General features: G+C 35.9%; 1 protein-coding gene across 10 annotated transcripts in view; it reads left to right on the top strand.

The window, feature by feature from the left end:
• Window positions 1-14,891, top strand: part of CCDC178 (coiled-coil domain containing 178) — a 503,635-nt gene that overhangs the window by 96,339 nt on the left and 392,405 nt on the right. For all 10 annotated transcript variants that reach the window (NM_001371120.1, NM_198995.3, XM_011525951.2 and 7 more), the window contains one exon: window positions 11,308-11,528. In NM_001371120.1, the coding sequence (NP_001358049.1) occupies window positions 11,308-11,528 (221 nt within the window). The remainder of the gene's footprint in view (window positions 1-11,307; window positions 11,529-14,891) is intronic.

Genomic DNA, 14,891 nt, shown 5'->3' with positions numbered 1-14,891 from the left:
TGCACAATTTTCCTAATTGTTTGGGAGGTTCTTCCCTGTTAGTAGTAGTAGAAAAAATATGGAGGGAAGGTTTTATTTAATTGTTTGCTGATAAATTTACATATAATCTCATATACCCTTTGTAATAGTGCTTAGGTATTGTAGTTTTAGGAGTTCTAGAAATTGAGATACATATGTGCACATTATAGGTACTTAATAAATACGTTTTGAACTATGGAATAAATATTTGTTATGGGTGACAACTTATTGTTGGGTTACCTTTTAATCAATACAAGATCTACTTAGAAAACAGATTTATGTTCGTCTGCGTTATTTTACGTAAGTAGCCACTATATGCAATGAAATTTAAATTCATTATTGTTATGTATTTTTTTTTTTTTTTTTTTTTTTTGAGACGGAGTCTCGCTCTGTCGCCCAGGCCGGACTGCGGACTGCAGTGGCGCAATCTCGGCTCACTGCAAGCTCCGCTTCCCGGGTTCACGCCATTCTCCTGCCTCAGCCTCCCGAGTAGCTGGGACTACAGGCGCCCGCCACCGCGCCCGGCTAATTTTTTGTATTTTTAGTAGAGACGGGGTTTCGCCTTGTTAGCCAGGATGGTCTCGATCTCCTGACCTCATGATCCACCCGCCTCGGCCTCCCAAAGTGCTGGGATTACAGGCGTGAGCCACCGCGCCCGGCCGTATTTTTTAAAGTTAATAGCTTTCTCTTTGAAACATATTCCTTTCAGGTAATGTGTTCTCGGGAATCTTCTGCCTTTATATTATTTATGTAGAATATAATCTCTAAATTTTATGAATTTGTTTACAAAGTATAGAGACATATATTTTTATAGTCTTTAGATTCTCAAAAGTATATAGCATGTAAGACAGGAAAAAATTGTAATCTCCTTAACAAACTTAATGTTAAGTATTATATTTGTTATAAATTTAGATACTTTTCAAAAATAAAATTAAGGAAACTCACTTCTTTCTAGATATTTTCTGGTCAGTCTTCCAGATTTATCTTTCCCCTCAACTCCCCAATCCCACTTAGATTTTTTGTTTTGTGGGCCAGGAGGCTGATTCATAGTGGACTGCATCAAAGATTTTGTTTGCATTCTGTCTTCCTGTTGGGCTCAACCCATGGGAATCTGTGGCAAGAGACCATGGGGAGATAATGGAGATGGGTGAGGCAGGGGAATTTATAGCACTGACTGCCCCACTCTCCATCTGGTCACTTTAAGCTGACTGCATGCCTCTCCTGAAAATGACAGCCCTTGCCATCCAACGTGTAGCCAATTAACTAGCAAATGCTTTTTGTTTTTCCTATCAAAAAAGATAACTAGAAATAAGCTTACCATCATGAATTTGGTAGTATATGATCCTACAAATTAAAAGTTGGATATGCATAGCAGTTTTCCCTTGCAAAATAAAAGAGTACCTATATTATATTATACCCAAACATTATCTGAAGACACAAGTAAACTTGTGACTCAGGCTCCTCAGGTATTCCCATCGTACCTGCTTCTATATATTACCTGTCTTTCCCATAATCTACACTATGGCTCCATGGGTATTTTCCTATAATGATCTGATGAAAGAGGAAAAAAAAAATCACAGCTCTGGTTTCTGAATGAATTTGAATAGTATGTAGACATAATTTGGAGAATTACTGCATTCCAGTCACATGATGGGAAGGGTGAAAGCTAATCACCCCAGGGGGTGAGACAGAAAGGGTGTAATCAGAAAGGACAGATTACAAAGATAATTATGTCCCATATATATGCTCACCAGAATGCCACTGCTATGGAAGAAGGTCTCAGTAATTAATGGAATGTTAAATCTTCCATTTTGTTTTGAATTGTTTTGTCTTTGTTAATTATTCAGTTATTCAGTTATTACTACAATTGTGCTTTGTAACAACCACCTTGGAACTCAGTGGCTTACAACAATAAGCATTTTCTTATTTGCTGATGGCTCTGTGAGTTGGCTAGGGAAGCTCTTCTTCAGGCCGCAGATCCAATTGCGCTGGCTCAAGGCTGTATGTTGGGTTCAGGTCAGCTTCATGTCTCTCTCATCCTCTTTGGCTAGCACCTTCCCAGGAGTATGGTTTTCATGTGGCAAATGGCAAGAATACAAAAGGGTGAATAGAAACGTAGGATGCTGCTCAAAGTGTCAGCTTGGAACTGGCATACCTTCACTTCTCACATCCATTTGGAGATACAATTCCAGTTGAGATTGGGTGGGGACACAGCCCAAATAAGTATCACATCCAAAACAAGAATCTATATGATAAGAAATTATCTCTATCCCAAGGGAGAGGGTAGTGAACAACATATCTATCATATCTTGCTTATTATATATATCATGTCTTGTTTCTTATAACTATTCCTGATATTCTATGGTTTCAACATATTTCATAGTAATCTCATCTTCAATTGTTAATTATTTATTCTGTAGAATTCCAATAAGCCTTGATTACTTGAAACATATCATATTGTTTCTTATATATATCATATCTTGTTTCTTATAACTATTCCTGATATTCTATGGTTTCAACATATTTCACAGTAATCTCATCTTCAATTGTTAATTATTTATTCTGTAGAAGTCCAATAAGCCTTGATTACTTTTTGCCTCTACTAGAATCCTAGAAGTTTCACTGGTTCTAGATCAGTTATCTTACTCATTTCTTAGCTGAATTTTGATCTCTAAACCTTCTTAAGTTTCAAGTTAGAGTTTTTCATTTCCTTGAAGTCATTATTTTTCTACCCAGGGTCATTTACTGAGTTTTTTTTAATCCATGCCAAACTGTTTAAGCCCAAAGTTGTCAGTAAATTTTTAATAGGTAAATCAATTTGTTTCCTAGTTTTAGGTCTGTATCAGTTTGTTTTCATACTGCTGATAAAGACATACCTGAGACTGGGAAGAAAAAGAGGTTTAATTGGGCTTCACAGTTCTACATGGCCAGGGAGAACTCAGAAAATCACAGCAGGAGGCTAAAGGCACTTCTTACATGGTGGTGGCAAGAGAAAAATGAGGAAGAAGTAAAAGTGGAAAAACCCCTGATAAACCCATCAGATCTCATGAGACTTATTCACTAACATGAGAATAACATGAGAAAGACTGGACCATGTGATTAAATTACCTCCCCTTGGGTCCCTCCCACAACATGTCAGAATTCTGGGAGTTACAATTCAAGTTGAGACTTGAATGGAGACACAGCCAAACTATATCATTCTACTGGCCCCTCCAAATTTCATGCCCTCATATTTCAAAACCAGTCATGCCTTCCCAACTGTCCCCCAAGTCTTAACTCATTTCAGCATTAACCCAAAAGTCCACAGTTCAAAGTCTCATCTGAGACAAGGCAAGTCCCTTCTGCCTATGAGCTTGTAAAATCAAAAGCAAGCTAGTTACTTCCTAGGTACAATGGAGGTATGGGTATTGGGTAAATACAGCTGTTCCAAATGTGAGAGATTGGCCAAAACAAAAGGGTTACAGGGCCATGCAAGTCCAAAATCCAATGGGGTAGCCAAATTTTAAGGCTCCAAAATGATCTCCTTTGACTCCAGGTCTCACATCCAGGTCATGCTGATGTAAGAGGTAGGTTCCCACAGTCTTAGGCAGCTGCACCCCTGTGGCTTTGCAGGGTACAGCCTCCCTCATGACTGCTTTCATGGGCTAGTGTTGAGTGTCTGTGGCTTTTCTAGGCACATGTGCAAGCTGTGGGTGGATCTACCATTCTGGACTCTGGAGGATGGTGGCCCTCTTCTCACAGCTCCACTGGGCAGTGCCCCAGTAGGGACTCTGTTGGGGGCTCCAACTCCACATTTCCCTTCCTCAGCACCCTAGCAGAGATTCTTTATGAGGGCCCCACCCTTACAGCAAACTTTTGCCTGGACATCCAGGCATTTCCATACATCTGAAATTTAGGCGGAGGTTCTCAAACCTCATTTCTTGACTTCTGTGCACTCACAGGCTCAACACCATGTGGAAGCTGCCAAGGCTTGGGGCTTCCACCCTCTGAAGCCACAACCCGAGCTCTATGTTGGCCTCTTTCAGCCATAGCTGGAGTGGCTGTGACATAGGGCACCAACTCCCTAGGCTGCACACAGCATGGGGACCCTGGGCCTGGCCCACAGAACCACTTTTTCTTCCTGGGCCTCCAGGCTTGTGATGGGAGGGTCTGCCATGAAGGTGTCTGACATGGCTGGAGACATTTTCCCCGTGGTCTTGGGGATTAACATTAGGCTTCTTACTACTTATGCAAATTTCTGCAGCCAGCTTGAATTTATCCTCAAAAAATGGGTTTTTCTTTTCTATTGAATCGTCAGGCTGCAAATTTTCTGAACTTTTATGCTGTTTCCCTTTTAAAATGGAATGCTTTTAAAAGCACCCAAGTCACCTCTTGAGTGCTTCGCTGCTTAGGGTTTCTTCCACCAGATATCCTACGTCATCTCTCTCAAGTTCAAAGTTCCATATATCTCTGGGGCAGGGGCAAAATGCCACCAGTCTCTTTGCTAAAACATAGCAAGAGTCACCTTTGCTCAAGTTCCCAACAAGTTTCTTATCTCTGTCTGAGACCACCTCATCCTGGACCTTATTGTTAATATCACTATCAGCATTTTTGTCAAAGCCATTCAGCAAGTCTCTAGGGGGTTCCAAACTTTCCCACATTTTCCTATCTTCTTCTGAGCCCTCCAAACTGTTCCAACCTCTGCCTGTTACCAAGTTCCAAAGTCACTTCCACATTTTGGGGTATCTTTTCAGCACACCCCACTCCTGGTACCAATTTACTGTATTAGTTCATTTTCACACTGCTGATAAAGACATACCCGAGACTAGGAAGAAAGAGAGGTTTAATGGAGTTACAGTCCCATATGGCTGGGGAGGGCTCAGAATTATGACCGGTGGTGAAAGGCACTTCTTACATGGCAGTGGCAAGAGAAAAATGAGGAAGAAGCAATAACAGAAACCCCTGATAGACCCATCAGATCTCATGAAACTTATTCATTATCACAAGAATAGCATGGGAAAGACACCCCCCGCCACTGCCGATTCAGTTACCTCCCCCTGGGTCCCTTCCACAACATGTGGGAATTCTGGGAGATACAATTCAAGTTGAGATTTGGGTGGGGACACAGCCAAAACATATCAAGGTCTCTCTTCCATTTTCTGTTGCTGCTTGAGTCATTTTCAGTAATTTATATCTTCTGAAGAATTTGTCCATTTTATTGTAGTTATCTAGTTTGCTGGCCTAAATGTTTTCATGAAATTCTCTTATAATTAATTTCTGTAATAGTAGTAGTGATGGTATCTTTTTCATTCCTAACTTTGGTAATTTGTGCCTTGTGTCTTTATTTCGTGGTCATTCAAGCAAAAGATTTGTCAATTTTGTTTATCTTTTTAAAAAGTCCACTTTTGCTTCCTTTATTGATTACTATGTTTCAGCTTTTATACCACTGAATTTTTTCCTCTGATTTCCCATATCTTATTTGCTTTGGGAATAATTTAAACCTCTATATTTCTCTTTTTATAAATTAGATGCTTTGATTATTTACTTGATGCCATTTTTATTTTCTAGAATTATCAGTTAAAAGCTGTAAATTTTCTTCTCAGAATGTCATTAGTTGCATTTTATAAATGCTCATATGCCATGAGTTCATTATTATTTACTTCAAAATATCTTTTCAAATATCCCTGTGATTTCTTATGGAATCTATTTATTTAGAAGTTGCTGGTTAATTTGCATTTATTTTGAAATTTTCATAAAAACTTCTGTTAAGGCTAATTTAATTATATTTTACTAGGAAATTTTATTTATTTATTTATTTTATTAGGTTTTTGGGGAACAGGTGGTGTTGGGTTACATGAATAAGTTCTTTAGTGGTGATTTCTGAGATTTTGGTGCACTTATCACTGTACATTGTGTACACAATGTGTAGTCTTTTACCCCTTGCCACCCCCAAAACTTGCTCCAAGTCCCCAAAGTCCAACAAATCATTCTTATGCCTTTGAGTCCTCATATCTTAGCCCCCACTTATGAGTGAGAACATACGATATTTGGTTTTCTATTCCTGGGTTACTTCACTTAGAATAATAGTCAGCAATTCCACTCAGGTTGCTGTGAATGCCATTATTTTATTCCTTTGTATGTCTGAGTAGTATTCCATGGTATATGTACCACATTTTCTTTATTCACTAAGTGATTAATGGGCATTTGGGCTGGTTCCATATTTTTGCATTGCAAGTTTTGTTGCTATAAACATGCATTTGCAAGTATCTTTTTCATATACTTCTTTTCCTCTGGGTAGATACCTAGTAATGGGATTGCTGGATCAAATGGGAGATCTACTTTTAGTTCTTTAAGCAATCTCCACACTGTTTTCCCTAGTAGCTGAATTAGTTTACATTCTCACCAGCAGTGTAAAAGTGTTTCCTTTTCACTGCATCCATGCCAACATCTATAATGTTTTTCATTTTTTTATTATGGACATACTTGCAGGAGTTAGGTGGTATCACATTGTGGTTTTGATTTGCATTTCCCTGATAATTAGTGATGTTGAACATTTTTCCATATGTTTGTTGGCCATTTGCATATCTTCTTTTGAGAATTGTCTACTCATATCCTTAGCCCATTTTTTGATGGGATTATTTGATTTTTTCTGGCTGATTTGAGTTCTTTGTAGATTTTGGATTAGTCCTTTTTTCAACGTATAGTTCGTCAAAATTTTCTCCCACTCTGTGGGTTGCCTGTTACCTCTGATTATTTCTTTTGCTGAGCAGAAGCTTTTTTAGTTTAATTAAGTCCCATCTATTCATCTTTGTTTTTGTTGCGTTTGCTTTTGGGTTCCTGGTCATGAAGTCTTTGCCTAAGGCATTGTCTACAAGAGTTTTTCTAGTGTTATCTTCTAGAATCTTTATGATTTCAAGTATTAGATCTAAGTCTTTGATCCATTTTGAGTTGATTTTTGTATAAGGCAAGAGATGAGGATCTAGTTTCATTCTTCTACATGTGGCTTGCCAATTATCCTAGCACCATTTGTTGAATAGGGTGTCCTTTCCTCACTTTATGTTGTTTTGTTTGCTTTGTTGAAGATCAGTTAGCTGTATTTGGCTTATTTCTGGGTTCTCTATTCTGTTCCATTGGTCTACGTGCCCATTTTTATACCAATACCATGTTGTGTTGAAATTGTGCTGAACAGAGAAAAGTTGAAAGCATTCTTCCTGAGAACTGGAGCAAGACAAGGATGCCCACTTTCACCACTTTTATTCAACATAGTACTGGAAGTCCTAGCCAGAGCAATCAGACAAGAGAAAGAAATAAAGGGTATCCAGATGGGTAAAGAGGAAGTCAAACTGCTGCTGTTTGCTGATGACATGAGCGTATACATAGAAAACCTTAAAAGACTCATCCAAAAAGCTCCTAGAACTGGTAAATTAATTCAGCAGAGTTTCAGGATAATAATTTTGTGTACAAAAATTAATGTACACAAATCAATAGCTCTGGTCTACACCAACAGCATCCAAACTGAGAAATTAGGAACTCAACTCCTTTCATGATAGCTGCAAAAAAAAAAAAAAAGCTTAGGAATATACCTAAGGATGTGAAAGACCTCTGCAAGGAAAACTACATAACACTGCTGAAAGAAATCTTAGACTACACAAACAAATGGAAACACCTCCCATGCTCATGGATGGATAGAATCAACATTGTGAAAATGACCATATGGCCAAAAGCAACATACAAATTCAATGCAATTCCTATCAAAATGCTACCACCATTCTTCACAGAACTAGAAAAAAGCAATCCTAAAATTCATGTGGAACCAAAAAAAAGAGTCTGCATAGCCAAAGCAAGACTAAGCAAAAAGAACAAATCTGGAGGCATCATATTACCCAACTTCAAACTATACTATAAGGCCATAGAAACATTTTTTTAATGTTTAATTTGTATTTAAAATTTTATCTGTCTGGGTGAATGTTCTGTTTAGTTCAAATTAATATATACTCTGCTGTTGTTGGGTAGGCTATCTATAAATATCAGGTCAATTTGATTGATAGTGCTGTTCAAGTGTTTTATCTCCTTAAGAATTTTCTGTCTAGTTATTCATTGAGTTTTGAGAATAGGGTGTTCATTTTACCTATTAATTCAGAAAATAAACCAGTAATATCAAAGTTATAATTTCAATTGTCAGATTTGCTCATGTAGTTTAGTTCTTCAAATCATTTAAAATATGCTGACAAGTTGTCAAGAACATAAGAAATGTAGCATGGCCAAAATTTAAGTTTGGAATGGAAATTTCTGGAAGTAAATAGACATCAGTGTTAGATTTAGCCCTGGGGGAATCCTTGAAACCCTGATGTCCTTGAGTTGCCATTTTGATATATGTGTAGGGTACAGGATACTGGAAATAAAGCTTAAGTCTCACCCAGAGTGACAAGTCTAATTAGAGATCAGGACATAAAAATGAGAATCCAAAGGTCTACTAATCCTCAGCCTAAGAGTGAACCATGAATCAACCTGTGGCTCAGATTGAGCAGCCAAGAAAGTTGTTTGTTTCTCTTATACAATGGAAGAAAACAATGCTTCCTGAACATTCGTAATGTACTAATCTCAAATAGATTTTTGATCCCCCACTGCCTGCTGTCTGTGTGCTTAAAAACTGTTAAGTGGAGAATGTCATTTAAATGTTCTGTACGTTAGTAGTAAAGTCAGGCAACTGACAGGATCAAAGGCACATTTGCTCTACAAGACTAAAATTTCAACCCAGGCACGAAAAATTTATCTCAGATAATGTTCCAAGAAAAGAAGTAGCTCAATATTAAATATCATAAAACACATGAAGATACAGGTTCAATGGGTATGAATCAGTAGAAGCAGACCACATAATTTTACTCAAAATGTGTCAGATATAGGATTATATCTGAGATTATAAAATAAGTGTTTGATACATTTCAAGAAATGAAAAGGTTTAAAAATAAAAGCAAGGACAAGAAACTTTTTTAAAGAAAGCAAAATATACAAATGAAAAACTATGAGAAATGAAAAATATATTACATAAAATTAATTTAATAATTGGTTAAATTGTTTATTAGACTCAGAGAGAAGTAATAGTTAACTGTAAAACTTGAAGAAATTGCATGGAATGCATCACAGCAAGACAAGGAGAGAAAAATATAAATAAAATATTTAAAACATGGCATATAGAATGAGAGGGCATCATGAATATTTAATAGAAGATCTTCATGGAAGTAATAATGGCAATACTTAACAAGATAATGTCTGACTCTTTGGAACAAAAATCTAACTGTCTAATTGGTGAGGGTAAAAAACATAAAAAAAGATATTATCAAACATTGCATGTATCAGAAAATAAAAAACATTTAGAAGTATTTCATTTAAAAAATCATTAAAAGTATCATTACATGTATGGGAAAAATCCAAGTCATTAAAGAGAAATCAGTAGCTTTTGTTATATCAAAAAGAGGGACTTAATTAATTATCAAAGTGTATGAGTTTAGAAGTTAGGGAAAAAAGCAAAATAAATACAAAGAAAGAAGGAGAAACCCAACAACAAAATGGTAAAATAATAAAAATACGTAATGCAGAAGAGATGCAAAGCTGAAGTTGGCTCAGTAGAAAGAGCATAATGTAAAACCAATGGCAAAATTAACAAAAAACACAGTGAGAATGTATAACTGATTCAGATTAGGAATGAAAATACATAGGGATATAGCAATGATTAATAGTGATGACGACATTAAGAACAAATTTCTTTGAATATTGTTGAAACTTTGACCAACTAAATAAATTTACAGAGAAAAATAGCTTGCTGAATAGATAATCAAAATATTCATATAGTCATTAAAGGAATGATTTTGACCCAGTAACTAAAAATCCTTCCTCACAAAATAAATAAATATATACATAGGGCCGTGGGGCTTAATATGCAATTTCAAACTTCCACAACATCTTAGAGAAAAGAAATCAAAAGAAACTACAGCTTATATAAGAAGCTATCATAAATTATAAATCAAAATTAAATGATCACAGCACAACTATAGAAAAATACAGGCCAAAATTACAAGTATAAATGCAGAAAATCCCAGGTAAAGACATCAGCAAATTCCATCAAGAAATTTATTTTAAAAAGATAAAAAAGAAAATAAACTAGCCCATCTAATTTTATTCCAAGAATGCAAGATTCAGTTAATGCCAGAAAGTTAAAATAATGAGAAAATCTTTCAATGGTTTTTTTCTAAAATTGTCCTTCTCTGTTCATTGGGATTTAATTAAATTTATACATTAATATAAGGAAATCCCTGTGCTTAAAATTTCAAATATTTTTATACAGAAAAAATAATTTTATTCATTTATTCAAATTCACTTTTGTGTTGTTTGATAGCATGCTGTCACTTTCCCCTTACAGACCTTACCCAGTTCATGTTAGGTTTATTAATAGATTTATGTAGTTTATTTTATGTTTTAGTTTTGCTATTGTGAGATATTCTGTTTTCAACATATTTATATATAGGTAAGCATTTTTTATGTTACTTTTACATGAACTATGTTATTTGTAATAATTTTCATTTCACTATTTCATGTGTTTTTCTATAAGAAAATAATAATCACTTTTGCCTTTTTCGTTCTGATATTTGTAAGTCTTATTTCATCATTTTCCTTCTAGGTGGTTTTGGAAGGCCTCTACTCTTGGAGTTCTCACTTTGAAGCAGTTACATAGAGTACTTTATAGAATGGTCAGAATATACATTGACCATACAACATAAACAGGATTTGTACTAAAATAACTATTATCTTATGAAACATATATTTTAATCCTTTTGATGATGAATTAAGAAAGTAATATATTTTATAGTACCTTTTATTTTAGAGGTAGTAAGATTTGGCCGGGTGCGGTGGCTCATGCCTGTAATCCCAGGACTTTGGGACGCCGAGGCAGGTGGACCACCTGAGGTCGCGAGTTTGAGACCAGCCCGACCAACATGGAGAAACCCCATCTCTACTAAAAATACAAAATTAGCCAGACATGGTGGCACATGCCTGTAATCCCAACTGCTTGGGAGGCTGAGGCAGAATTGCTTGAACCTGGGAGGCAGAGGTTGCAGTAAGCCAAGATCGTGCCATTGCACTCCAACCTGGGCAACAAGAGCGAAACTCCATCTCGGAAAAAAAAAAAAAAAAAAAAAAAAGTAGTAAGATTCACAAATAAGGAATTTCTGAAATTAAAATGTTTTATATTTATGTATTATCAAATATTTCCTCCAATCAGATTTTCTTTTGTTCTTATCCTTCTATATCTAGAACATGAGGCCTATTTGAGTGATGTTATAGAATTACAATGGCATCTTGAAGATAAAGCTAATCAACTACAACATTTTGAAAAACAAAAGACAGAGTTAGAAGAAGCAAATGCAAAGATTCAAGCAGACATAGACTACATGAATGAACATGGCCCTCTACTGGACTCTAAGCAGAATCAGGAACTTCAAGATCTGAAGAACCATTATAAAAAAAAAATGGAGGTAAATAAACGAATGCATGAGCATTTCATAAATTATTACTTAGTTATGCAAAAACTTTTCAACCATAAGAAATTAACACAGCTTTAAAGGTTTTTTTTTTTTTTCTTAAAATTGACCTGCTCTTTATCTCTACACATTACCAACTGTTGGTATTCATTTTAACTATGTCTTCTTTTCTTACCATTATATTTAAGATTATTAAGCATATTTAGTCAAACTTCTGGTAAAATTTTGGTCATTTAAAATAGCCAGGTAAGGCTGGGTGTGGTGGCTCATGCTTGTAATACCAGCACTTCGGGTGGTAAGCTGAGGTGGGTGCATCGCTTAAGCCCAGGAGCTAGAGATGAGCCAGAGTAACATGGTGAAACCCCATGTCTACTAAACATACAAAAATTAGCCAGATGTGGTGGCTTGTGCCTGTAGTATCCTCTACTTGGGAGGCTGAGGTGGGAGGCTTGCTTGACCCTTTGAGGTTGAGGCTGATGTGTGAGGATTGCTTGACCCCTGGAGGTTGAGGTTGCAGTGATCCATGACTGTGCCACTGCAATCCAGCCTGGATGACAGAGTGAGACCCTGTCTCAAAGCAAAGCAAAACAAAACAAGAACTTCAGAAAAATAAAATTGTGGGGTTTTTTTTTAAGCCATAATCATACTGAGCAAAAATAGAAGTAAAATATATTAATTTCATTGTTTATGAAAATATATAAATGAAATAAAAGTATTTTTAAAGGTTAATTAGATATTTAACTCTCCTATTGTGGAATATGAAAATAATTTATTGATAATTGTCACAAAATGAACAAATTTAAATTTGTATTATATTTATTTTTGAACATTTTAAAGTAAATAAAACAAGTTGTTAAATGTCTCCTGTGTTCCCCTCAACAGTTCCATTTTCGTTCCTCCTTTACCAAAGACAATCTTTATAATGAATTTCATGTGTTTATAAGCCAAATTTGTGTAATTATATATATGCGTGTGTGTTAATAAACAATACATAGTATTTTTAATCACACAAACAGTACCATACATGGTGCAATATTCTGCAACCTATTTTTTAATCTGACAATTTTTTAGTTTAATCAAGCTACTGTTGATATGTATAGCTCTAGTTCATTCATTTTACTTACAATGTTCCATCAGATAGATATTTCACAATGTAATTACTTACCATTTCATCTTCTGTTGGCCATCTGAGTTGTTTCCAATATCTGGCAACAAAACTGCTTATTTGACTGTAAACAATAATCACACATGAATACCTTCCTCTGTATCTGCATGTGAATTTTTCCTAGTGGGGTTATATACCTAGTTGGGTAGTTACTGGATTGTGGGTTATACACATTTACTATTTTATTAGATAACATCAAGTTATTTTTCAGAGTGCCTATAACAATTTCTATTACTGAAGTAGTGGCAATACTGAAGTCTCATTTCTCCACTGTGGACAAGAATGCAAGTACTGTCCTCCTTTTTTAGTAATAGACCCCTATATAGTTGGGTGACAATGTGTCAGGTTGGAAGATATTTCTCAATTTCCCTTTTCTCATTGTATTTCTAATGAGATGTAGGTAGGAGTTATTGGCTGCAAATTCTAGGAAATCTCTTTGAAATAGACTGCCTCACATAGGTAGTCTATTTGGCCATTTGCCTTAGCTATCATACCTAGGTTGCTGGAAGTTTAGAAAATGCCAAATAAGCTATTTACTAAACTTCCAGCAACCTTGATATGATAGCTGCAGCTCTAACTTCCATTTTACAGCATGAAGCAACCTTGGGGATGGAAGCCACAACTCAGGATGGCTGAAGAGCAAAAGGATAGTCAGATATATTTCTGTGAGAGGAAAGTTAACTGCAACCTTGTTTAAGCAACTTATTTGGTTTATTCCTATAACTTACAGCAAAACTCAATCCTAACTGGTATAACTCACAATTTAGTTAATATTTTTATTGTCATTCTTTAAAATTTTGTCTATATGTGTTTTAATTGGTATCCCTTTGTTTTACTGTGTTTTTCACTGATAGTGAACTTGGGTACATTATAAGCAGGGCAAGTGGAGTTGTTAGGCACCTGGAAGATCAGGCTTGTGAATGGGAAGAAAGAATTCATGCTAGCAGACCAAAAAAAAAAAAAAAAAAAAAAAAAAGCAATGTTTGTGTAAAGCTTATCAGGGCCAAAATGACAGTTAATTTAATTGTCAACTTATGGGGCCATGATGCCCAGATATTTGGTCAAACATTATTCCAGATGTTTTCAATAAATGTACATTTTTTGGACGAGATTCACATTTGAATTGGTAGATTTAGAGTAAAACATATTATTCTCCATATTGTGGGTAGGCCTTGTGCAATCAACTGAAGGTCTTAACAGAACAAAAACTGACCTCCTCTGAGCAAGAAGGAATCCTGTAAGCACACTACTTTTGGACTGGGACAGCAACCTTTCCCTGGGTCTTTAGCCTGCCAACCTACCCTGCAGATTTTGGACTTGTACCTCCAAAATAGTGTGAGCCTTGTCCTTAAAATCAGTCTCTCTCTCTCCCCCATCTTCCTCGCTCCTATTGATTGTTTCTCTAGAGAAGCCTGACTAATATGGTCACCATTAATGCAATGACTGCCCTTCTTTTATTTCATCATTATTGTGCTACTCCATCACATCTTAAATTCCTAGATCAGTGCTTCTGCTTACCTGCTTTTAAGTCAGCTGGTGACCTTCTAACTATTCCAGGGGTCAAAATGAGAGTTTAGACCTCTTGGCTTCTGTAGCGTGAGCCATAAACTCTGTGAAACCATCCACTGTGGGTGTACAATGCAAGGGAAAGTAATTCCCCAAGAAAAAATAATTCCCCATCATGAAACTGAGATGCTATTAAGAAAGGCTATAAATGTCATGCAGCCAAAATATGAAAACTCTCTAATATAAGGTAGAAGAAAAGTGATATCTTAGTAAAAGTAAACACATTTTTCTTTGATAAAATGAGCATAACTGACAATACTCAAAAATGAAAAGCAGAATTATGAGCACTGAGAGGCCCAAATACTTCCTCAGAGAGAAATAAAAATACATACATTGAGATAGTAAAAATTCTTGCCAACAAATTAGATAACCTAGATAAAATGGAATCAAGAAGAAATAGGAAATCTGAGCAGGTGTATAACAAGTAAAGAGATTGAATAAGTGATTAACCACCTCCCCACTCCACCAAAAAAAAAAAAAAAAAAAGCCCAGGACCAAGTGGATTCACTAGTGAATTATACCACACACACACACACACACACACACACACACACACACACTCTAATAATTCTCCAACTCTCAAACTCTTCCAAAAGGAAAAGAGGAAGAGGAAGGAACACTTCCTA

This window comes from Homo sapiens, chromosome 18 (genome assembly GCF_000001405.40).
Source record: "Homo sapiens chromosome 18, GRCh38.p14 Primary Assembly".
NCBI lineage: Eukaryota > Metazoa > Chordata > Mammalia > Primates > Hominidae > Homo > Homo sapiens.
This window is presented reverse-complemented; position numbering and strand designations above follow the sequence as displayed.